General features: G+C 39.3%; 1 protein-coding gene and 1 long non-coding RNA gene across 6 annotated transcripts in view, besides 1 other annotated feature; one reads left to right on the top strand and one right to left on the bottom strand.

Moving 5' to 3' along the window:
• Positions 1–4,588: 4,588 nt before the first annotated feature.
• LOC105373828 (uncharacterized) lies at positions 4,589–10,962 on the bottom strand. Of its 4 annotated transcripts, none has more exons than XR_001739850.3 (4): positions 10,125–10,962; positions 8,154–8,235; positions 7,240–7,302; positions 4,589–6,783 (listed from the first exon to the last, which is right to left on the bottom strand). It is a non-coding gene; the product is annotated as an uncharacterized LOC105373828 (long non-coding RNA). The 4 variants fall into 4 exon arrangements; XR_001739851.3 differs by having other exon boundaries at positions 4,589–4,705; positions 10,125–10,923; XR_001739852.3 differs by having other exon boundaries at positions 4,589–4,705; positions 7,240–7,306; positions 10,125–10,923.
• The window catches only part of PLCL1 (phospholipase C like 1 (inactive)), a 345,271-nt gene continuing 331,582 nt past the window's right edge, over positions 11,009–24,697 (top strand). Inside the window, exon 1 of one of the 2 annotated variants that reach the window (NM_006226.4) lies at positions 11,009–11,755. In NM_006226.4, the coding sequence (NP_006217.3) occupies positions 11,516–11,755 (240 nt within the window). In that variant the 5' untranslated portion in view covers positions 11,009–11,515. Of the gene's footprint in view, positions 11,756–11,779; positions 16,739–24,697 lie in introns of those variants that run through there. The other variant, XM_005246643.5, reaches the window with a different exon arrangement.
• Positions 11,056–11,185: a silencer, noted in NCBI's record as "silent region_12217". NCBI's record gives its function as "represses an Ori minimal core promoter by ATAC-STARR-seq in GM12878 lymphoblastoid cells {active_cell/tissue: GM12878}" and the evidence as "EXISTENCE:reporter gene assay evidence [ECO:0000049][PMID:35858748]".

The following is a 24,697-nucleotide window of genomic DNA, read 5'->3' on the forward strand; positions in this document are numbered from 1 at the left end:
AGTCCTAGAGTGTGAAAGAAGAGAAGTGGTGTAGCCAGAGAGGATTCCAGGGATGTAGATAGGAGCCATGGCCATGTGTGCCAAAGAGCCTGGACTCTATTCAGCTGGCACTGGGAAGCCAATGAATCTTAATAGCGGGAAGTCAGATTTGTACTTTACAGAAATCCCTCTATCTACAATATAGAGGGAAGATGGATATTAGAACATAACACATGGTCACTGTAATCAACTTAATTGGTATTGGATGGGAATCAGGACAATCCAAAAGTAGATTGAAGTACATGTAGAAATGTGATATATGACAAGAAGGATAATTCTATTCAGTGAGGAGACAATAGGATTATTTAATAGCGTTGGCACAAATAGACATTCATCTGGAAGAAAATAAAAATAGACCCCCATCTTATTTTAAAAAATTTATTTGACACTTATACACACTCATTAACACTTATATAAATATAAAAACCAAATTTAGAAATAAATTATAAACAGACCAAATACATAGTTTCAAAAAGAAATAAAAATCTTGCAGAAAAAGGTAGGATTTACATGTACAATCTAGGGGTGGAAAACTGCATTTTAATCAACAGTGGAGACTCAAAAATTATAATCAAGCTGATAGACATTTTTTGATTCTGTGAAAATTAATATAATGTGCAGGCAAAAGTTTCCATAAAGTTAATAAAGGATTATTCTAGATAGCTATTAATGTAGATGACATAATAAGGATAATATTTACAATGTGCTGATTGAGTTCTCTGGGAAGCATATGGAGTTAGGGGTGCAAAAGGTTTATAGGGGTGCAAAAAATATTTGGGGGAAAAGGGAGGAGCAGGTGGTGCCATCACTTCTGTTACAAGCTGACTCAGCCAGCCAAGTGGGAGCTGTGGAGCAAGGATGTCTGTTGGTGGAGTCCTGTGATGGTGGAAATGGAGAAGGGCATGCCCTCAGCTATCACTGCCTCACTCATTCATTGGCCATGGGCTGCCTGAAGAAGAACTTTATGATCTTGGTTCAAATTTGAGGTGGACCCTGAATAAGTGAATAGCTGCAGGCTGTCAGTGAACCTTACTCCTCGCAGCTGGGGACTGAGTCCTTTATCGTAGCAGGGTCTGGGTGTGGCAACTCCATGTTTGCCATAAAACTCTTACAAAATCCTGAGAAAATGGCATTTGATCCAATAGAAAATAGGGCTAAGCACATTTGTAGACAACTTACTGAAGATCAAGACCAAATGGCCAAGAAACATTGGAAACAATGCTTAGTAATCTGGAAAGTGAAAATTAAAATAACAATAGACTATAACTTTATACCTATAATAGTCACAGAAATTAATCAGAGCTACAGTACCTTTTAAGGTGGAATGTGAAGTATTGTAGCTCTTTGGGAAAGCTATCAGGCATTATCTATCAAAGGTAAATATACGCCTTAGACCCTAAAATTTGACTCCTGGGAGTCTATCTTATACAAATAAAACCTTTGGTTCATAAATATGTGTATAAAAATGATTTTTACAACATTGTTTGTAGTTGTGAAAAACTAGAAATAAATTGGATACCCTAAATAAGGCAATGGCTGAATGAATTATGATATATTCACACCATGGAAATACTATGCACTTATTTAAAAGAATGAATAAGTAGCTATTGCAGAAGAGGTGGTGGGATTTTTTACTAGCTCTTATTGAATGAAAAAAGAAAAATGCAGAGGAGTATTGTATTAGTCTGTTCTCACATTGCTGCAAAGATTCTATCTGAGACTGGGTGATTTATAAAAGAAAGAGGTTTAATTGACTCACAGTTCAGCATGGCTGGGGAGGCCTCAGGAAACTCATGGTAATGATGGAAGGGGAAGAAAATATGTCCTTCTTCACAGGGTGGCAGGAAGGAGAATGAATGAATACCCAGTGAAGGGGGAGGCCCCTTTTAAAACCATCAGATCTTGTGAGAACTACTCATTATGGTGAGAACAGGATGGGGGAAACCATCCCCATGATTCAAGTATCTTCACCTGGTCCTTCCCACAACACATGTGGATTATGGGAACTACAACTCAAGATGAGATTTGCATTAGGACATAGCCAAACCATATCATTCCACCCTTGGCTCTTCCCAAATCTCATGTCCTCACAGTTCAAAACATAATCATGCCCTTCCAACAGTTCCCCAGAATCTCAACTCATTCCAGCATTAACTCAAAAGTCCAAGTCCAAAATCTCATCTGAGACAAGGCAAGTCTCTTCCATCTATCAGTCTGTAAAATCAAAAGCAAGTTAGTTACTTCTTAGATACAATGGGAGTACAGGCATTGGGTAAATACACCTGTTCCAAATGGGAGAAATTGGCCAAAACAAAGGGGCTACAGGCCCCATGCAAGTCCAGAATCCAATAGCGCAGTTACTAAACTTTAAAGTTCCAAAACGATCTCCTTTGACTCCATTTCTCACATCCAGGGCACACTGATGCAAGAGGTGGGTTCCCATGGCCTTGGGCAGCTCAGCCTCCATGGCTTTGCAGGGTACAGCCCCCACCTCCTGGCTGCTTTCACAGGCTGGCATTGAGTGTCTGCAGCTTTTCCAGGTGCATAGTGCAAGCTGTAGGTGGATCTACCATTCTGGGGTCTGGAGGATGGTGGCCCTCTTCTCACAGCTCCACTAGGCAGTGCCCCTGTGGGGACTCTGTGTGGGGGCTCCAGCCCCACATTCCTCTTCTGCACTGCCCTAGCAGAGGTTCTCCATGAGGGCTCTGCCCCTGCAGCAAACCTCTGCCTGGACATCCAGGGGTTTACATACATCCTCTGAAATCTAGGTGGAGGTTTCCAAACCTCAAGTCTTGACTTCTGTGGGCCCACAGGGTCAGCACCATGTGGAAGCTGCCAAGACTTGGGGCTTGCACCCTCTGAAACCATGGCCTGAGCTGTACCATGGCCCCTTTTAGCCATGGCTAGAGTGGCTGGGATGCACGAAACCAAGTCTCTAGGCTGCACACAGTAGGGGGGCCCTGGGCCTGGCCCAGGAAACCATTTTTTTCCTCCTAGACCTCCAGGCCTGTGATGGAAGGGGCTGCTGCAAAGGTGTCTGATATGCCCTGGAGACATTTTCCCCATTGTCTTGGCAATTAGCATTTGTCTTCTCATTACTTATGCAAATTTCTGCAGTGGGCTTGAATTTCTTTCCAGAAAATGGGTTTTTCTTTTCTACTGAATCGTCAGGCTGCAAATTTTCCAAACTTTTATGCTCTGCTTTGCTTTTAAACATAATTTCCAATTTCAGATCTCTCTCAAGTTCAAAGTTCCACAGATCTCTAGGATGGGGGCAAAATGCCACCAGTCTCTTTGCATAGCAAGAGTGACATTTACTTCAGTTCCCAACAAGTTGCTAATCTCCATTTGAGGCCACCTCAGCCTGGACTTTATTGTCCATATCATTATCAGCATTTTGGTCAAAGCCATTCAAGTCTCTAGAAAGTTCCAAACTTTCCCACATCTTCCTGTTTTTTGAGCCCTCCAAGTCTCTAAGAAGTTCCAAACTTTCCCACAATTTCCTAACTTTTTTTGCACCCTCTAAACTGTTCCAACCTCTGCCTGTTACCCAGTTTCAAAGTTGCTTCCACATTTTTGAGTATCTTTATAGCAGCACCCCACTCTACCAGTACCGATTTACTCTATAAGTCTGTTCTCACATTGCTTCAGAGATACTACTGAGACTGGTCATTTATAAAGGAGAAAGGTTTAATTGATCACAGTTCAGAATTGCTGGGGAGGCCTCAGGAAATTCACAATCATGGTGGAAGGGGAGGCAAACATGTTCTTCTTCATAGGGTGGCAGGAATGTGAATGAATGAACACCAAGTGAAGGGGAAAGCTCCTTATAAAACCATCAGATCTTGTGAGAACTAACTCACTATCATGAGGATAGGATTGGGGAAACTGCCCCTATGATTCAATGATCTCTAGCTGGTTCCTCCCACAACAAGTGGGGATTATGGGAACTAAAATTGAAGATGAGATTTGGGTGGGGCACATCCAAACCATATCAGGTATATATAAGATTATCTCTCCCCCTCATTTTTTTCTGCTAAACAGTGACAAAATATACTTTGTTTATGTGTATATATATACACACATATACATATACATAGATGAATGTTAACTTGAGTTACCTTGCAAGGAGTGGGGAGGGTTGATGTGGGTGGAAGAGGGAAGATATGTCCAAGATAGGCAAAAGAAGAACAAATTGTACCAAAAAAGCATACATATGATCTCATTATGCTATAATTTCTAAACCTAGTAAGAAAGGCAGAATCGGGGCTTACACAGCTTGCAGTAAAGAGATAAATGAGAAAAATGGGTCACAGAAATGGAAATCATTATATGCAATTTTATTGGATATATAAAAGTTTTTAGTTTGTACCAGTTTACTAGATGCCAGAAATGTTTACTGGTTACATGTGAATCAAACAGTATCCGGCCATATGAACTGAAAGCATGGTTGTGGAAAGCACAGGGCTTTCAGTAAACTTACATACCTCTATCACTCAGCAGAGGCTAGGTTATATTACAGTAACAAATGACCCTCAAATCCAAGGGGTTTACAACAAAGGATGTTTTATTGCTCATGTTACGTGTCTATTATAGATTGGCTTCAGTTCTGCTCCATGCCACTTTCACTCAGGATTCAGCCCCTGTCTGGTGAACAATCTCGAGGCTGAGAAAATGAGATCATAGTTAAATTTATGCTGGCTTTTAAAGCGTCTGCTTAGAAGGGGTTTCTTTCACTGGTCAAAGCAAGTCACATGGCTGAGCCCACTGTAAATGGGATGAGGATGTATGACCCTCCTCCAGGGAGGATCAGTAAAAATCCCCCAGGGTATAAAGATCTGCTTTATGACAAAGAGTGTTAATGAAGTGTTTCCGTGTGATCACAGTAGTGAATGTTATTAATGATTGGTGGATTAATGAGTGGTGAGAATTAAGATGAGAAATAAGAGGAAATACATTGTGTATGCTACTTTTTATAATTAAATAAATGCTATTTTTATTATCCACTGGGTGTTAAGTATAAAGACACTCCTTTTGATTTTTTTTTGTTTCAATCACAGATCACAGACCATCTCATCACATTTTCATAAAACAAAGTAAAATCTCTTTAATCCATATCCTGAATATAGAAAAATTATGGTAGGCAGAAGGGTAAAATTTTAACTACATATTTTACTTTTCTGAATTTTAGAATTCACAGTAGCTTATTGATGAGAAATATAATGATCATCACAAATCAGAAAACATATTCCTTCCTTTATAAATTATAGTATAAAATAGTACTGTTTTGTGGTTTTTGCCCAGAGTTAAGTATTTGCTTGTCAAAGAATCTTCCAAGTAGATTTTATCTGCAGCTATCAGTTTAGTTATTAAAATTTCATTTTGGTTAGGAGAAAATTTGAAGAAAGTGCCGCAACATCTTATTACACAAAATGTACGGTGCTTCTTACTTGTTATTCTATTTCACAAGTTAAATTAAATTTCAGTCCTTTACTGTTGTCTAATATTTCAGATGTTTCCTACAACATACTTAAAATTTCAAAAACAATTGTAACATTATCTGAAATGTTTCACCAGTACAATTTATACAGAACAGTGAATGGCAAAAGTCCCAAGTGTGGTTCAACAGCTGTTGCTCCCGTACTGTGGGCTGAGTAGAGGCAGTTGTATCCATGGTGACCTATATGACTTAATGAGAGTGGGAACTGCGTGATTCTCACAGGGGTTAATGACAGAGCAAACGCTGGCAAGCCAGCTTTCATGAGGCATTTGGCTTTTTTTTGTTTGTTTGTTTGTTTGTTTTTTTTTTTAAAAGGAAGGATTCACTTTTTCTAACTCCTCATTTTGTAAAGCAGACAAACTTCGTATCATGCTTAACAAAAGAGCTATATACCTGAAAACTAACTCGGAAAAAAAGGGCTTACAAAACAAACTATACTTTACTTTTGTCCTATATTTTAATGTAAAACATGCATTATGATTTTATATTTATTCAAATATTGCACTCTGCTTCTTCCTCCCGAAAGGTTTAAGGTAGACTAGAACAAAGGCATATCAATAAAGTCTATAAAATAGGTGTAAGAGTCTTACACATTATGAGTGGAGAAAAGAAGTGCATTAGAAAAGGAAATATGACTCTGCAGTTTCTTCCAATGGGCCCTGTGACACTAAAAAGCATTAATAAACTTCATACCTTGGTATAAGTTGGAGGATTAAAAACCCCAACATCGTGTAGGTGATTTAGATTTGAGGAATGTACCTGGGATTTGGGGGCTCGAGGGGAGGAGGAACCTACTGTATATTCACTTCTGCATTGAAAATGTCAGGCATTGGGTGTATATCTGGTTTGAAAAGATTTCTGTCATAACGTTGTACCTGGAAAAGATTCGGTTGTCAAATAAAACAGAGAATCAAGTTTTTATGGGGGCCTTATTTGTGCCATTTCAGTGGTACTTTTCCTAAGTGCCTCTGGCTTCTGCATCAGTGGGGGAAAAAACCGTGACATGAGCTCCAACTCCAGGATCCACGTCAAAGTAAGTTAATACATAGAAAATAAATCAACACTGTCTATTTTTAAAAGACCTTTGCCATGCACAATACAGACTACTGCCAGATGATTGGCCTGGAGCTCCTGATAGTGCCTTAGCCCCAGGGTCTTCATGGGGTAATTCCTGTGGGAATGGTGTTAATGGATAGAGGCCCAGGCATTCTGCTCTCCTGCAGACAGTAGAGATTTCTCAACCTCTGAAAGAAGCAGCAGTAATCAGACATTGAAGAACATTGGCTGTAATTAAAGATTTCTTAGATTCATTGCCTCTCAGTACTTTAAAGATTTATTAAACTGGGGAATCTAGACCTATTATAAGCAATTTGTAACTTCTCATTTTTGTAGGACTGTTATAATGGAGCACACTTTACTTGTTCTTTGAAATAAGATTAGTTGATTTTTATGTTTTAGTTACTGAAATTTCTTAATTCCTAATATAAGTGACAAAAACTTTCAAGAAAAAACTTGAATTTCAAAGAGGTCATATATCAAGTTTTGCTTATCTTTTATTGACTTGTATGTATTTACTCTACTATAATATTCACTCTACAAATTACCCTACAAATTCTGTTTTCTTGAGCTAGCAAAACAAAATGATCACCATGTATATTGGGGAGGGCTATGACTGAATGTAAAGATGCATGCAACTTAACTGAAAATGCTGTATGTCCTCTTCTTTGATTACGTGCAATGCGTCCTTTAACTTATTAGGAGACCTGTCTCAATATAAAAATATTTTTCTTACACATATGTGAATGAGATGATAAATGTGTTTCCTCATGCACTAATGAATCAGTCATACTGGTGGTCCATGCTGATGACATAAAGGTCATGTTGATGTTGAGAGAGGAGGTTGTCATGGTTAATATGAGTGGTCCCAGATCTGAAGGAGTGGCTCTTCATTCTCCAGGACAGCTACTGGACTTGTATCTTATGAGAGCTTTGGGTAGCAGGAAGAATGCAGGCTTTGAAGTCACTAACATTGCCTCAAATGCTGGTTCTTTCACTTCCTAGTTGGCTCTAACTTCAAGCAAGCTACTTGACCCTTTTGATCCCCAGTTTTCTTATCTGTGAAGTGGAGATCAGAATACTGCAGAGAGGATTATCTGGTACATAGAAAGCAGTTATCAAAGAGATAGTTCTTTTCCCCCCACTATGACTTCCTGGTAGTATATGGAAAGTCTTAATATTCTCACTGGTTTTTTCTCAGGCCCAGGGTTCTGGACTTCCCTGGCTGGAAGGACTATATTGACATATCTAGTCTTTTAGTCTGGTCTAGGTATTTTCAGGACTGCTAGAACTTGCTTAGTTCTTATTGGTTGTATTTCAGTCTAATTCTAGATTTCAAGTCATTCCAATTAATAAGTGCCCTTCTTCTGAGATTTGTAGCTGCTTGGTGTGGATCTGTTCTGATTTCTGCTCTAAAATGGAATTCTAGGATCCTTGAGGATGAGAAGTTCTACCATGCAGACAGTGACAGAACCATTTTTCTTTATCAGATTGATTATTTTATTTAGTCACAGGACTGCAAAAGTCCTCTGTCCATAAATATTTATTGAGCACTTACTCTGTTCCAGACATAGTTCTGGGAGCTGGAGATACAGCAATGAATAAAATCGCAAGGTCTTTAGGCACATGGAGATGGCATTCTACATTTCAGTGAAGCAGAGATAGGGGGAAAGTAAAACAGAATATGTAAGTAAACAATTCCACGGAAAAGACAGTTTGTTCACAGTGATAAAATCCTGTGAGAAGACAAAACACAATATGACTGACATGTACTGAGGCTTGTAGGGGCAACTTGAGATTTGTAGTTAGAGAGTCCTTTCTGACGTAGTAACATTTGAATTTCCTGCTCGTTACTATTATTCATATCTTACCTTCCTACCCCTGCTCACCCCCAAATTCCAATCTGCCAATCTAGCAATTGTCACCATGACTTGGTAAAAGGTTGGGAGGCAAGAATTGTAGGTGACAGCTATTTGGAAAGAGGGACTGTTAATGCAGGGGTAGGAATGTGCCCATGGCTGCTGACTTAACTGAAACTAGCTAGTCTCTTTCAGTTTTTGAAGTGGGTCCACAAAGCAGAATCTGCTCCTGGCTAGGAGCAAGTACATAGGAGGGGTTTTTTTTTTTTCAATTGCAAACATGAGTATCAGGAAAAGCCTTCTGAGCTTATGCTGGAACACAACAATATAAACGACTTGCTAGATTAGGGTCCAACTAGTTTATCAAAGCAGAGTAATTTAGACAACAATCTTTACGGATAGAGGCTCAGAGCAAAGGAATCAGAGGGGTGTGTGTGTGTGTGTGTGTGCACTTTCACATGAGGGTGAGAGGGAAGGATGCCAAGGAAGAGAAAAGAGTCCAACTAGACATTGTCTAGTTGAAAGATACAACATTTTGCAAGTTATATGCTGTACTTTCTGGCCTCTGTTTTTTTTTAAATCACTGACCTTGAATGTTTGTTAATAAAGTGATGCTAATTTTAAAATTTGTAAAAATAAATTATTATCATAATGGTACACAAATCTGTAGGATGAGGAACTTATAAATGACATTAATATCCTATAACAAGATAATGAGTGAGATAAAGGCAGTTTTACATTTTTCAGAGGACAACCGAAGAATGGGACTTTTATTAGAGTAACAAAGAAAAATGAAGCACTGACAACTGTAAATGACAGAAGTCAAATGTAATAATAGTTGAATATCAAAGAAAAAAATGATAGCCTAAAATAAGATATATTTCTGAGGATAGCAATTAAAAATATTTCCTATATAGCATAGACAGGAATTCCCTGAACTAAAGGAGATGGAAGACATGTATGGTTGTTTTAAGTCTGGGTACACTTTATTTTCTTCCTCTAGTCTGTGCGTTGTAAAGGCATACCTGTTGAAAAGGAAACTTTTGTTGGGTTACCCCTCCTGTCTTTTAAAGATGAGGGGGAAAAAGAAGCCTTTGCTGTTATGGATGCAGTTCTCAGAATCTCACTAGAGGGTGGTGTTGGTTCTAAAACCAGAGGTCACTGCTACTCTCTACAGTACATTCATTACTAGGCTGCATTTATGTTTAAAGAAAAGGCAAAGTCAAGCCTTCTCAGTATTCCCTAGTAGTTGATAAATGTCAAATCTGAAACCTCCCAAGTGCCCCTGCCAGTTCTGGCTGGTTGTAGCCCAGAGGAGACAGATAAAGTAGTGAAGAGATTATCGGAGGAGTTGGGTGGCTGATTCTAATTTTGGCTCCTGCACTAACTAGTAGACAAGACTCCCTGGGCCTTTGTCTCAACCGTAAAACAAAAATGATGTCCTAGTTGATCCCTAAATCCCCATATATCTCTAAAATTATGAGATTCAAACCAAATTGTTGGTCTAAAATGCTGAATAATTTCTCATGCTGTTAGCCAGACTAAGGAACAAGTAAAATCTCAAATTATTAAATTATTAATAAGATAAAATGTAATGTTATAAGTGAGGTTTAATATAGATTCTAATATCAAAGGAGTTTAAAATTAAAATGCCAAGTCTTTTGTCTTACCAGGGAGCCTTAGGACCATGGTTTGCATCTGAGCATTCTGTGGATAATTTCAGTGACTTAACTCATCATCCAAAGATCTCTCCCTTCTTGGTTGCTAGCTTACTGGAAATGAGCAAAATATGTTTTTATATAGGATTATATAGAGAAAGGAGGCTGAACCATTGTCAAATAGGAATGTTTTAGGATAGAGACTAAACTCCCCACCTGCATTTATCTGACTTGGATTATATCTGTGCTTTTTAAGAGTCAGTCTTCGGAGGGATTTAGTTGGTTCAGTTTCCTTTCACCCTCATCTCTTTCACTGACTCCCTTTCCTTGTTATATTTACTCACACTGCAGAATGACCTTAGAATCCTTTCCTGGAACCTGAAGCAAATTATGGAACCCCAAGATCCCAGTAAACCCTAGTTTATCTCTGCATGGACTTGACTTCTAAGAATTGGCCTGAGAGCCTGCAATTAACCTGTGACCACGCAAAGCTTCACCCCGTCACCCCAAACGCTTAGACATTCATACTCAATACCCACTTTCCTCCAAATTGCTTTGTTTGGCAGAAGAAGGTTTCTTTCTCCCCTCTCCTTCACCCAACCTGGATTTTTGTTGCATCTCAGGCTCATTTCGCAAATCTAAACTTCCTAAAATATACACGGAGCGCCTCCGGGTTTGCACACGCGCGCGCGCGGGTACACCCTGGCTCGAGTACATTAGCCCCGCTGGGCCGGCTCCCAGTTGCAGAACACATTCCATTCTTCGCGCTCGGGCACACCCCTCCGCAGTGAGGATTGGTCGGGCCGAGCCCCCTCGGCGAGGCGAGGCTCCTAAGAGGCCCAGACGCCTGCCAATCCCCAAGGGCTGTCAAAACAAGTCTCCCTCCCTGTCACAACAGAGCTGAGTGGAGGCCGCCGCCGCCGCCGCACTTCCTGGGACCGCTGCGCCGCAGTCCGCGGGCAGGTGGCGGGTGCGCCCGGCCGCAGTCGCCCGGCTCTGGCCCCTATCGGGCCGCCGGCGTCCGGGCTCCAGAGGCCGCCTGGCTGGGCGCCCGGTGCCTTTTGTCTGGCGCAGGGCCGGCGTTTGCATCACATTTCGGATACCTCCCTCTCTTTTTCGCCTCTCCTTCTGCCTCCCGCTCACATCGCCTCCCCACTCCCGCCACCGTCCCCCGCCGGACTGCTAGCCTCCTAGACCGAAGCCCGAGGACGTCTCTGCCCGAGCGATGTCCCCTCTCCAGAAAGTTGCCGCCGCCGCCGCCGCCGCCGCCACTGCCGCCGCTGGGCGGTGAAACAAAGTCTGGCGGGGCCGCCTCCCGGTGCAGGAGCGCACCGGTGCCTAGCGGCTGGACTCCGCTGCCGGGCGTCCCGCTTTCCCCCGGGGAGCCCTAAACGCTCCAGGCCATGGCCGAGGGCGCGGCCGGCAGGGAGGATCCGGCGCCGCCCGACGCGGCGGGGGGCGAAGACGACCCCCGAGTGGGCCCGGATGCCGCCGGGGACTGCGTGACGGCGGCCTCTGGGGGCCGGATGAGGGACCGTCGCAGCGGGGTCGCACTGCCAGGCGCCGCGGGGACCCCAGCGGACAGCGAGGCGGGCCTCCTGGAGGCAGCACGGGCGACCCCCCGGCGCAGCAGCATCATCAAGGTAAGCAAAGCCGCGCCGCACCGGGAGCGTGGCTGTGGGTGATGGGTGGGTCAGGGACCCGGGCAGGATGTGCGGTGTCCGGAGGCATCCGGGCTCAGCATTGTTTTCTCCCACCTCCTTCAACGCCAAACCTTCCTTCCTTATCCGGAGGTTCCCAGACTCAGCTGTCAGCCACGAGACGCACAAGTGACTTTTTCTCCCCACTGACGGCAGAGGAAAAGTTCCGCTCTGCGTCTTTGCGTTCTGATGGATGCTTTCCCTCATTTTCTCTGCAAGCTTCACTAAACCGTTGATGGAGGGAGGAAGGGAGAACTCTGGATAAATGCAGACCCACCGGATGGTTGTGCATTGCTTTCCAATGAAGGGTTAGCTTTTCCCATACAATGAAGAAAATGCACAGCTTACTCTCAAGTGTAAAAAAAGAATCCCTCTAGACTTAAATGATCCCGAAATCCCAAGATGTGTGAACTTTCCCGGTAGGGAGGCAGAGTTTTAAGTGGACCCTGCATCACAGTAAAGAGCAATGCAAGAGCCCAGAGTTTTTGCGCTGCAGAAAGCACAACCGGAAAGCAATCAATCCCCCAAGCATTATCACTGGTCCTTGTGGTTACCACCACATCCAGGGAAAACGCTTCCTGACCCGCTAATCACCTCACAGAATTTCTCTCCATCCATTTGGCAAGGAATTTGTAAACCTCTTTCCTCCCCTTTCTCTTTCCATCTTCCTTCCACTTGGGGCTTGTTTCTTCTGTTCGAGATTTCCTCTTTTGGGAGCATGACTTTGGGGTAAGGTTATTTAGGAAAGAACCCTCGCACAGGCTCTGGAAAAGGGCCTCAGTGTAAATGCATGTGAGTAATCAATCAAATGTATGTCAGATTAAAATTGATTTTGGTGGAGCAGTCAGTATAAAACGATATGTATGTATGTATATATGTAAGTATATATGTGTGTGTGTACATACACACACACACATCCCTCAATGACAATGAAAGATGGACTTTTACTTACTATTGAATTTATTGGGTTCACTAATATATTCAAAAGCTCTGTTCAGGGTTAAGCTGCGTAACCAGTGCATCACGCATGTTGCAAGCTCCCAGCACCAGCTTAGGTAGACTAACCACAGAATGTGGCTCCAGTAAAGTCTTTTTCCCAACACTGACACATGGAAGTTTAAAATCAGTGGAGAGGTTTCTATAATATATAAAGAAGAGTGGGTGGTAATTACAAATGGCTTGTAGTAGTTTCTGTTATTTTGTGGCTTTTTGATTATGTAACAGGAGTGTTCTATTCTGGGTGTGAATTTGGACAAAGGGAAATTACTATTTTGTTTTTAACCCACAGGTCAGAAAGCACACTGTTTTCAAACTTAAAAAACATCACAATTAGGAAACACATACATTTTGGATTCTACTGTATTGATACTACATGGTGTCCTGTGTGTGTAAAACAGGCACTGCAAGAGACTTTAAAATATATGACAATAAAGAGCAAACGGCTCTATAATGTTGTAAAAAACAAAAGTAATGGAGTATAAGGAATATACAAATTCTTGCAACTGAGTTTGCCACTTGTGAATTGTACTATGCTGGTTTATATTCTCAGAAGGGTCATTGCTGAGTAATGGTGCCTCTTTTGTTTTGAAGTTTCTTTTTGTGACAAAAAAGGAGGGAGACAACAGAATATTAACTTGATTTTTCCCCTATTTAATAGTAAATGCAATTAACATTTGGTAAATGGCCTTTAAAATTAAAGATATTAGAAAATAAAGTGAATTATTATGTTAGGTTTTTATTGGAAAAGTAGCACATACATATAATTTAAAAAATCAAATGTTGCAAAGGAGTGTGAAGGAAAGACCCTCAGACACTCCACATTCCCACTTATGTAGTCCACCCTCATAGATGTTAACACTTTCTTATGTATGCTTCCAAAATATTCCATGCATGTGTAAGCAGATATATCTATATGTGTCTATGATGAACTATAGCAGCTCCTGATTTCTACAAAAAAATCTGGCTAGAGTTTTACAAGTCTCATAGTTTTAAGCATTTTTGAAGCCTAGAGGGGGTAATCTGGTAGGTCTTTGGTGGGCAGCAGTCATTGGGGTCTGTTCCCAGAGGCCTTAACGCCCTTCTAAGGAGAAAAAAAGGCAGGTGGTAAGCTCTGTTCCACTCCGTCTCTGAGATCAAGAACCTTTCTGGTGACATTCTTGAATCTGCTGCCCTGTGGTTTGTTCCCTTTAGCATAGTAAAAATGAGTTTCCAAAAAAAGTTTAGATCATATAAGAAATACATAGCACATGTTCTATATTGAGAGAAAATGCATTTTTCACAGTTTTGCCAAGAGATTTTTTTTTAAATTTGGCATTGAAATGTACACAAAGAAGAAAAGCTTTAGTACATTTTAATCAAAATATTAAATGCTGTTCCAAATAGCTGTAGTGCAGTAATAATTGATATTCATAATGCTGAGCCACTGAAAGGTTGTGAATCATCAAATATTAAATTCTTGTCAGCTCAATTTAAGGTATTGTTTCAGAATAGTGCTATCCTGACAGAAAACAGACTGTCTTGTATATTAATAAAAAGAATGTTTTTAGTAAATTTGCCCTCCATAATTTGTGAAAACATGTGTTTAGTTGAAAAAACAATTTTCTTCTGAGCTGAGGAAAACAATGACAACATTTATCTGTATGCATCTTCAGAAATTCTTTCTACTGACATTGTGTTTCTTCCCCACATATAACCAATCCTAGGTTTAAAAACGTTCAATGTGAGAATTAAACTAAGTTTTTTTAAAATCTGTCTACTTTTTCCTATATTTTTCTGTGTGATTGTTTCAACAGCATTGACATTGATAAATGCTGCATGTTTTTTGGTAAGCGCATTGTTATATACCACAATAATGCAATAGAATCCATTTTAATTTCTTCTTGATGACTTGTGGTTTGAAATGACAAGTTGGATACCTGCAGTATTGATAATCTCTAAAAGTTGTTTACTATTCTGCATTTGAATATATTTCTAATTAAGAAATAAGACCATTTATTTATCTGGTATTTGATATCAAACTTATAGCATTTAAAATATTTAACATTTTAGATTATTGCTTATAGCCCTATAATCTGCTGCCCTGTGGTTTGTTCCCTTTAGCATAGTAAAAATGAGTTTCCAAAAAAAGTCTAGATCATATAAGAAATACATAGCAAATGTTTTATATTGAGAGAAAATGCATTTTTCACAGTTTTGCCAAGAGTTTTTTTAAATTTGGCATTGAAATGTACACAAAGAAGAAAAGCTTTAGTACATTTTATATTAATCAAAACATTAAATGCTGTTCCAAATAGCTGTAGTGCAGTAATAATTGTAATGTTTTGGAAATAGGAAGCAGCATAGCTTATTTACTATATTAGTTGGTGGAAACTGAGCTACATGTGTATTTTAAAAATAGCAGTTGATTTTTCTTCCATTGTATGTGACACATTGACGGGTTCTACTTTTTTTCAACTTCCTTTTGTTCTACTTAAGAACAAATTCTCTAGGCAAGGAAGAATAGAAATTGTCACTTGGATCTCATGGACATGGGTGTGGGGGATGAAGATGGGAGTTGGGAATGAGGTGTTGAGACCAGCACTGGAGCAGCTACTTGGGTGTTGTTCATGTCTCATTATTTTATATCATGGCGAGTCTCACTCTCTCATGTCATCTTGGGCTGGTATGGTGGATTTTTGAACTGAAGCCTTAAAGGTGCCCCTTGGGTACCAGTAGACCCCTATCAAGATTATGGCTTTCCTCAGAGAGGCAAGAGGAATGCAGTTCACATTAAGTGCCTACTACTGTGAGTCATATACTAAACTAGGAGCTTTCGTACGTTTGTATCACTTAAACCTCACAGGAAACTCTCTAAAGTATGGAAGGAAGGCACAGAGAGCTACTGTTAAAATGTGGAGTGATGACTGAAAGTCATGTCTGCTTAATTTCAGAGTTTGTGCTCTTGGGCTGGTTCTCAGATGCAAGAAGTCCCACAATCCATCAACACTTCTAGGTTTGAAACAGCCCGAACACGTGAGATAGTGACAGAAGAGTACGCATCTTAGGTCCTATGGTTTGTGGGGTACATTATCTTTTCTCAGCCTTCTTTCCTTCAGTTCAGAACATTTGGAGGTTGATTATTCTAGAAAGGGATTGCAACCTCTTCTGTCTTTGGCTATTTTGTTAGGCCTGTGCTGTACTTGAAAAGACAGAGCAATCTGGCAGGTGTTCTGCTTGGCGTCAATATATGGAGCTTACATCCTATTGTTTTACCCCAGGCCCACTTTCCCCATACCCCTGCAGACAGTGGAGTTTGTGAAGCATTGTATTCTCTTTTAGGCTGATACGCAGGCAGAAAAAATACCTGGGTCATAGGAATATATATAAATCTAGGGGAGTAAGGAAATGGGGGAATCTTCTTTTGGAGCTCTGAAAGTGTGTGTGTGTGTGTGTGTGTGTGTGTGTGTTTAAATAGGGACGGTTATGAAGGGAAATTAAATGTGATTAAAAATTAGTTAAAAATTTTAGGCACTCTATGGATTATATAGGCGTTTGTAGATTGACCCAGGAATTAATCAGCATTTATAGATTTTATTCTCTACAAATATGTGTTAAAAGTTCCGAATAACCAACTTATGGATGGATTTTGGAGAAATAACCAGAGGAGCTGGCCAGCCTTTACTTTACCGTAAGGGTTGCTGAGAGTGTGCCCTGGGGGCTTCAGCTGCGGCTCTCCTCCCGAGATGTGATTTGGCTGCATGAATGGCATGAACCTCTTAGGTAGATTTGGTTTATGATCCCCACAACTTCAGTTAGAATGTTACTTTCTCTCAAATTGCCATAGTAACATGGTCACATTTCACCTTAGAAGTGGTTGCTTCTTATTGCAGGGTCTTTCTGATGTGATTTCTTATAGCACCTCTCAAGAAAATGAAGAATAAACTTCAGGTAAAGAGCTTTGTCTTACTTTGATGAAAGGTTTTTGAAGTGTCTGTTGATTAGTGTTTGCTACTATTATCAGAATTTACAAAGTTTGTTTTCCCTTTTGGAAAATATATTAAGGCTAAAAAAAGTGTAAGTTAATTACATAGCCATTGAGGGGTTAAACGTGCATTGTGATTGAGACTGAATAGTGTTTTCCCAACCTTTCCCTTTTTACAATGGAGAAAACAGGTAATTAAATTTTGTACAGTAAAATGTCAATTGAACATTTATTGCCAAATAACACCTCAGGCATAGCAGGGCATTATGAAAAGATATCAGGAGACAGCCGACCTTACCTTGGTGCTACTGAACAAGCAATTCATTAACTGCTTCTAGGCAATGCCACAGCAAACTAATCAGGCAGTGGCCCAGGCAGTAACTCAATGAAGGAATTGCATCAGTCTTCTTTGCGCCCTCACTCAATTCTGTTCAGCTTTAATAACTGTGAATATTAAAAATAACTCCACATTCAGGAGCAATGTCCAAACTGAGATGTGCTTAACACTGTATATTTTAAAAAACTATCCGACTTTAGATGACCAGACAGAGCTAAGAGGCAGGATCTCAGCAACAGTAAATGAGCCATTGGTTATAAGAAGGAGGGAGAGAATCATTGTGTTGGACTTTACATTGAAATCTAAGGTAATAAATCAATAAACTTTATTATAGTGAAACCTTTCAGTTCTGCAAAATCTTAGTGTTTTAATAATGTAAAAGAGGTTTATTTGTAGTTTTGTTGACTCTTATTCACCTCCCTATCTATCCTAGATCATCTCTGTATTCTAGTTCCTGTAATAGGAAACAATAGACAGAGTTTATGGTAATTAATGATTATACTAAACTGACAATAACTATTAGGGCCAAACGGCCAACTTCTGTAACAACAACATTCGGTCTTACATATTGGCAAATGTATTGTGTATTTCAGCTAACTTTTAATGGCAACAAAATCATAGTATGACGAAGTATTGGAATAGTCCATTGGATTTAAAATTGGATTTCATTTGTAGTTTTATCTGTAACATCTTTTGTGAATATAAGAGAGAGATATAACCTAGTTTATTTTCAGCAGTGCCGTTTAAACTCATCTTATTAATAATCAATCTAGCATTACTTTGAGAAAAGTAGGATTGTACATGGTGAGTAGAAAAGAAGCATTGTTTACATTATCATTATCACTTCAGAAAGAAGGCAAGTTAATTTTGAAAATAATAAAATCTATCAAGGCAAAACAACATAAACTATTTTAGTGTGTCTCGTTTCCATATATTTCTTAATTTGTATTTGTAAATTTATGAAAGTGTGTAGCTATTATAGGCAAGGTTATTGTGTTTTTCCTTAACTATACATCTTCATATTCAAAAGTTTAAAATACCTTTGAAAGATAATATCTGCTTTATTAATTCTTATGCTGACCTTTTTCAAGAGCCTTTAATTTTTAACATTTTTTACTTCTTTTCTCTTGACTTTTAGGTTCAGGGGGTGTACATGTGTAAGTTTGTTCCTTGGGTAAATTGCATGTTGCTGAGGTTTGGTGTATGAATGATCCTGTGAGCTAGTAAGCATAGTACCCAATAGTTAGTTTTTCAACCCAAGTACCCTAACCCAACCTTCCCCTTCGAGTAGTCCCCAGTATTTATTGTTCCTCTCTTTGTGTTCATGTGTATTTAGTGTTTAGCTACCACTTACAAGTGAGAACATGTGGTATTTGGTTTTCTATTTCTGCATTAGTTCACTTAGGATAATGGCCTCCAGCTGCATCCATGTTGCTGCAAAGCACATGATTTTGTTCCTTCTTATGGCTGTGTAGTATTCCATAGTGTATGCTTCCCACATTTTCTTTGTCCAGTCCACCATTGGTGAGATGATTCCATGTTTTTGCTATTGTGAAGAGTGCTGTGATGAACATACAAGTGCATGTGTCTTTTTGGTAGAGCGCTGTTGGATATATACCCAGTTGTGGGATTGGTTAGTCAAATGGTAGTTCTGTTTTAGTCTCTTTGATGAATCTCCACACTGCTTTCCACAGTGACTGAACTAATTTACATTACCACCAGCAGTGTATAAGTGTTCCATTTTCTCCACAACTTCACCAACATTTGTTGTTTTTTGACTTCTTAATAATAGCCATTCTGGTGTGAGTTAGTATCTCATTGTGATTTTGATTTACATTTTTCTAATGATTAGTAATGATGAGCATTTTAAAATATATTTGTTGGCTGCATGCATGTCTTTCAAAAGCCTTTTAAAGATGCTAAGTATGTACTAAACACAGACTAAGCCCAGGCAATATGTATAAGCAGGCAAACTTGTATTATTTACACGGTACAATATCACGGTTAGAAATGGTGGGATTGTGATGCTACTGAGTATTTAGCAATCAGAGATACTCAAATTCAGAACACCTGCTCTGTGAGACATTCTCTGATGTGAGGGAGATGGATGCACAAATGAGGCAAAAAGAGACAAAAGAACACTTTAGTGTTATCTGGGACCAAAATTACAATGTAGAACCCTAGAAAGCTAGACCTGACCATGTTGTAGGCACTTTTCCCTAAGGCCCAAACGACTTCAAACAAAAGCAAGCCAAATAACCTGTATACTTAAAGCCCACACCCCACCTCCCAGATCTGACAGCCGATGATGAGGGTGCGCACACCTTCTAGGGTGTAATCAGGGGCACACGCATTAGGGCTAGACAATAAGGAGTCAGAGACATGGTCAGCAGGGGGAGAGTATGTTTCCCCTCTAAGCCTCCCTTGGCTCAGGCTGGGTTAAGGCCTGGTTCAGGAAAAGGGTAATGGCATCAGAAGAGTGATGGCCCTGCTCCCCTACAGGTCAGCCCTGATTGTTGGGTTGGGGAGGAGAGAGAGAAGACCATGCTATGTGCACTCTGACCTCTCTCTCCTTTGAAAGCTTCCTCCCCATATAACATACCCCATCAATGTCCTTGAACTTGCAGTTTCTTAATCATTGATGGTGACTAATGTTTGGAAGTGGGAGTGGGGATGGAGGTGAGGGAGTTGGAGCCTCATGCTCCCCCTAGAGGCGTATATAAAAGATGCAAAGTCATCTTCAGCATTTAGTAAACTCCAGCTTTGAAATATTTTGGAAGTATTGATTTCATATCATAATTAAATATTATATATTTAGAAATGTTATTAATAGTAAGTAGCTTTATTTTTATGTTTAATCTAATATATAAAACACCTAGTAACATCTTGAATTGGTTTTCCTACTGAGCAATTTTCTTTATAATAATAGCAAATACTAATATAATTTGTATGATGAGTCTAGCATTGTTTTGAGCATTAACGTGTGTCAAATAATTTAATTCTCACAATAACCATATGATATGCATATTATTATTATCTCGATTTTTACAGATGGAGAGATGTTAAGTGACTTGCCTAAGGTCACATAGCTAATAAACGCAGAGCCAAGAAGTAGGTCCAAATAATCTAGCTCCAGAGGTTGCTTTTAATCTTTATGCTATATGTTCTTATCCTCTAAAACAGTATTGATTTGAAGCTTAGCTGGTGTGGATAAAATAGCAGATTTTTTATTGTTATCTTAAACACTAAGTTCAGCTGACAAATCAAAAACCAATTTTTAAAACAGTTTTGGGAAACTCAAGGATTACTTGAATATACATTTTTTCTCAGTTTCATAGCCTTCCTTTCACATAAAATACCTATAACTTTACTTTAATATTGCATTCCATTTTCCCTTGAGAGGAGTGGGGCTCCTAGTAGTACAAGCAAACTTCACATTATCACACTTTGCTTTGTTGTACTTTGCAGATATTGCATTTTTTTAAACAAATAGAAGATTTGTGGCAACCCTGTGTTAAGCAAGTCTACTGGTGGCATTTCGTGTCTCATTTTGGCATCGTGTGCTCACTTTGTGTCTCTGTGTCACATTTTGGTAATTCTTACAAGATTTTTAACTTTTTCATTGTTATTATATCTATTATGGTGATCTGTGATCAGTAATCTTTGATGTTACTATTGTAATTGTTTTGGAGTGCCATGAACTATGCCCATATAATACAGCGAACTTAATTGATAAATGTGTGTGTTCTGACTGCTCCACTGACCTGCCGTTGTCAGTGTCTTTCCCTCTCCTTGGGCCTCCTACTCTTTGAGACACAACAATATTGAAATTAGTTCAGTTAATAACCCTATAATGGCCTCTAAATGTTCAAGTGAAAGAAAAAGTTTCACATCTCTCACTTTAAATCAGAAGCTAGAAATGATTAAGCTTAGTAAGGAAGGCATGTCTAAAGCTGAGATAGGCTGAAAGGTAGGCCTTTTTTGTCAGTTAGCCAAGTTGTGAATGTAAGGAAAAGTGCTTGAAGGAAATTAAAAGTGCTACTCCAGGAAGCATATGAATGATAAGAAAGCAAAAACAGCCTTGTTGCTGATATGAAGAAAGTTTTAGCGATCTGGATGGAAGATCAAACCAGCCATAACATTTCCTTAAGCCAAAGTCTAATTCAGAGCAAGATCCTAACTCTCTTCAATTCTGTGAAGGCTGATAGGGGCGAGGAAGCTGTGGAAGAAAAGTTGGAAGCTAGCAGAGGTTGGTTTATGAGGTTTAAGGAAGGAAGCTATCTCTATAATGTAAAATTGCAAGGTGAAGCAGCAAGTGCTGATGTAGAAGCTACAGCAAGTTCTCCAGGAAATCTAGCAGAGATTATCGATGAAGCCGGCTACACTAAAAAACCTCAAATTAGAAGAAGGTGTCATCTAGGACTTTTATAGCTACAGCAGTGAAATCAATGCCTGGCTTCAAATCTTCAAAGGACAGGCTAACTCTCTTGCCTGGGGTAATGCATCTGGTAACTTTAAGTGGAAGCCAATGCTCAATTACCATTCTGAAAATCCTAGGGTCTTTATGAATTATGCCAAATCTACTCTGTGCCCTATGAATGGAACAACAAAGCCTGGATGACAGCACATATGTTTATAGCATGATATACTAAATATTTTAAGCCCACTGTTGAAACCTACTGCTCAGAAAAAAACATTCCTTTCAGAATATTACTGCTTGTGGACAATGCACCTGGTCACCTAAGAGCTCTGATGGAAATGTAGAGGAGATTAATGTTTTCATCCTGTTAACATAAGATCCATTCTGCAGCCTATGGATCAAGGAGAAATTTTGACTTTCAGGTATTATTATTTAAGAAATACATTTCATAAGGCTATAGTTGCTATAGATAGTGATTCATCTGTTGGATCTGGGCAATGTAAATTGAAACCTGGAAAGGATTCACCATTCCAGGTACCATTAAGAACATTCATGATTCATGGAAGGAGGTAAAAATATCAACATTAGCAGGAATTTGGAAGAAGTTGATTCCAACCTCATGGATGACTTTGAAAGGTTCAGGACTTCGGTGGGGGAAGTCACTGTAGACGGGGTGGAAATAGCAAGAGAACTAGAATTAGAAGTGGAGCCTGAAGATGTGACTGAATTGCTTCCATTTCATGATAAAAATTGAATGGATGAGGAGTTGCTTCTTATGTATGAGCAAAGAAATTGGTTTCTTGAGATGGATTTTACTCCTTGTGAAGATGTTCTGAGCATTGAAATGACAACAAAAGATTTAGAATATTACATAAACCTATTTGATAAAGCAGCAGCAGGGTTCAAGAGAGTGGGCTCCTATTTTAAAAGAGGTTAGTTGTGAGTAAAATGCTATCAAACAGCATTGTATGCTACAGATACATTTTTCACTAAAGAGTCAATAAATGTGGCAAACTTCACTTTTATCTTATTTTAAGAAATTGCCACAGCCACCCAAACCTTCAGCAACCACCACCCTGATCAGTCACCAGTGTTCAAAATGGAGGCAAGGCCCTCCAGCAGCAAAAAGATTATGACTGGCTGAAGGCTCATAATCATTATGATTATGGCTAATGATCATTAGCATTTTTTAGCAATAAGGTATTTTAAGATTAAGGTTATATACATTGTGCTTTTAGATGTAATGCTATAGCACATTTAATAGACTACTGTATAGTGTAAACATAACTTTTATATGCATGGGAAACAAAAAAATTTGTGTGACTTGCTTTATTGCAATATTTGCTTAATTGTGATGGTCCAGAATTGAATTTACAATATCTCTGAGGTATGCCTGTTTATTTTTATTCTTTGACTGAAGTTATCTTCTTTACCATGAAGCAAGAGTTTATGGTCCAACTTTGGTATAAATTATATAGGCTAAGGATGGACCATTACTTAATTATTGTAATCTGTTATGAATTATTTTATATTTTGATAGATTTGTCTCCCAGTGTCAATAAATAAATAAATAAATAAAATAAAGAGCATTTAAGTTTCCAGTCCAAGGAAGTTGTAACTTTTGTTTAGTGGTAGGAGAGATGATGCTATATGGTCAAGATTTCCTCCTAATTAGCTTTGAGGCAGATATAGTGCCTTACATGTAGGAGGAACATGTTTAATATTTGTTAAATTCCATTAAACTGAAATTCTGTCTGATCAATTAATTTCTTATTTTTGGTAGAAATTGCAAAGTCAATATGTGGGAAATTCAAATATATGATTGTGTCATGAAATTGTGCCCTTGTGGATGCTTTATTGTGTTAAAGGTAATGAATCCATTCTGCTGTGCAGAGATTTAGTGTCATGGCCAAATGGTACCCATAAGTTTGTCCCCATAACTTGGAGACTGCCTAGTGTTAAAGGTACAGTAAGCTTTCTTTTGTATGTCAGTTTTAATTATCTATCTGAAGTTATGTTAAATTATTGAAAGGTACAGGTCTTTGGCTCTCTCTCTAGTATTACAGCACTTATGCAATAAAGTATTTGGTCACATTCTCTTAAAGTGATTTTTTTTTTCTTGTCCAAAAAGAAAGGGTTCTCCCAAGCATTTGAAACCTAAAAAACTTTTTTTCCTCATACTTTCTCATGTTTATTTAGTGTGGGAACAAGCTAGTTTTGTGATAAATGAACTGATGTTTCTATGTGCGTGTGCGTGTGCACGTGTGTGTGTGTGTGTATACTTACGCCAGGCATATTGGAAGTCAGAAGTCTCAACAGGAGGTAACATTTATTTTATTTTTTTTAGTAGAGATGGGGGTTTTGCTGTGTTTCCCAGGCTAGATTTGAACTCCTGGGCTTAAGGGATCCTCTCACCTCAAACTCCCAAGTAGCTGGAACTATAGGCCTGTGTCCCCATGCCTGGTTTAGGTAACCTTTTGATCCCCAGTTTTCTTTCCTGCAACTGGGAAGATGGTCTTTATCCAGAGACATCGTCATCAAAGTAAGAACTGCATAGGTTGTGAGAAGTCACACTCAGAAATGTTAGCTGTTAAGCTTGACCAGTAGTTGAGGTTTCTGAAAGGAGTGAAGAGAAAGAGAGGGATCAAGATGTGCTAGAGGGGAATGGAGTCAGATGGGACCATGCTTATAAATGGGCTGAGTAAATGCCTTGACAAATGTCTTTACTTGAATCATTCTGCCAGAAGTTGTACATTTTGGAATTTATTTATTTTTTTTAATTTTGATGGTCTTTGGTTTTTTTGGAGAACTTTTAACCGATGGGCACCTGACACCTTAACACACTTAGCAGTGATCGTTGGACCCAAAGCTCTTTTGAGTCTGAAGATTCCTGAGAAGAATCAAGGGAGGACTGTTCTGGGTTGTCGATAGTGATGATTGGCGTTAAAAGTAAGCTTTGTCTACTTGGCTATTTTGCTAACCCCAGCTCTAGGAAAGTCCAGGGAGATTCTTCATGGTGGCACCTTCAGTATGATAGATTTACCAATAGGGAGAAATGACCTGACAAACAAATCATTGTAGAAGTTGGTGTACTAGGATGGAAGTAGTTGTGAGTGCTGGAATTAGCCACCACTCCTTTAAAAAAGGCTCTAAATATTCACATACTCA

Source organism: Homo sapiens, chromosome 2 (assembly GCF_000001405.40).
Source record: "Homo sapiens chromosome 2, GRCh38.p14 Primary Assembly".
NCBI classification, from domain to species: Eukaryota; Metazoa; Chordata; class Mammalia; order Primates; family Hominidae; genus Homo; species Homo sapiens.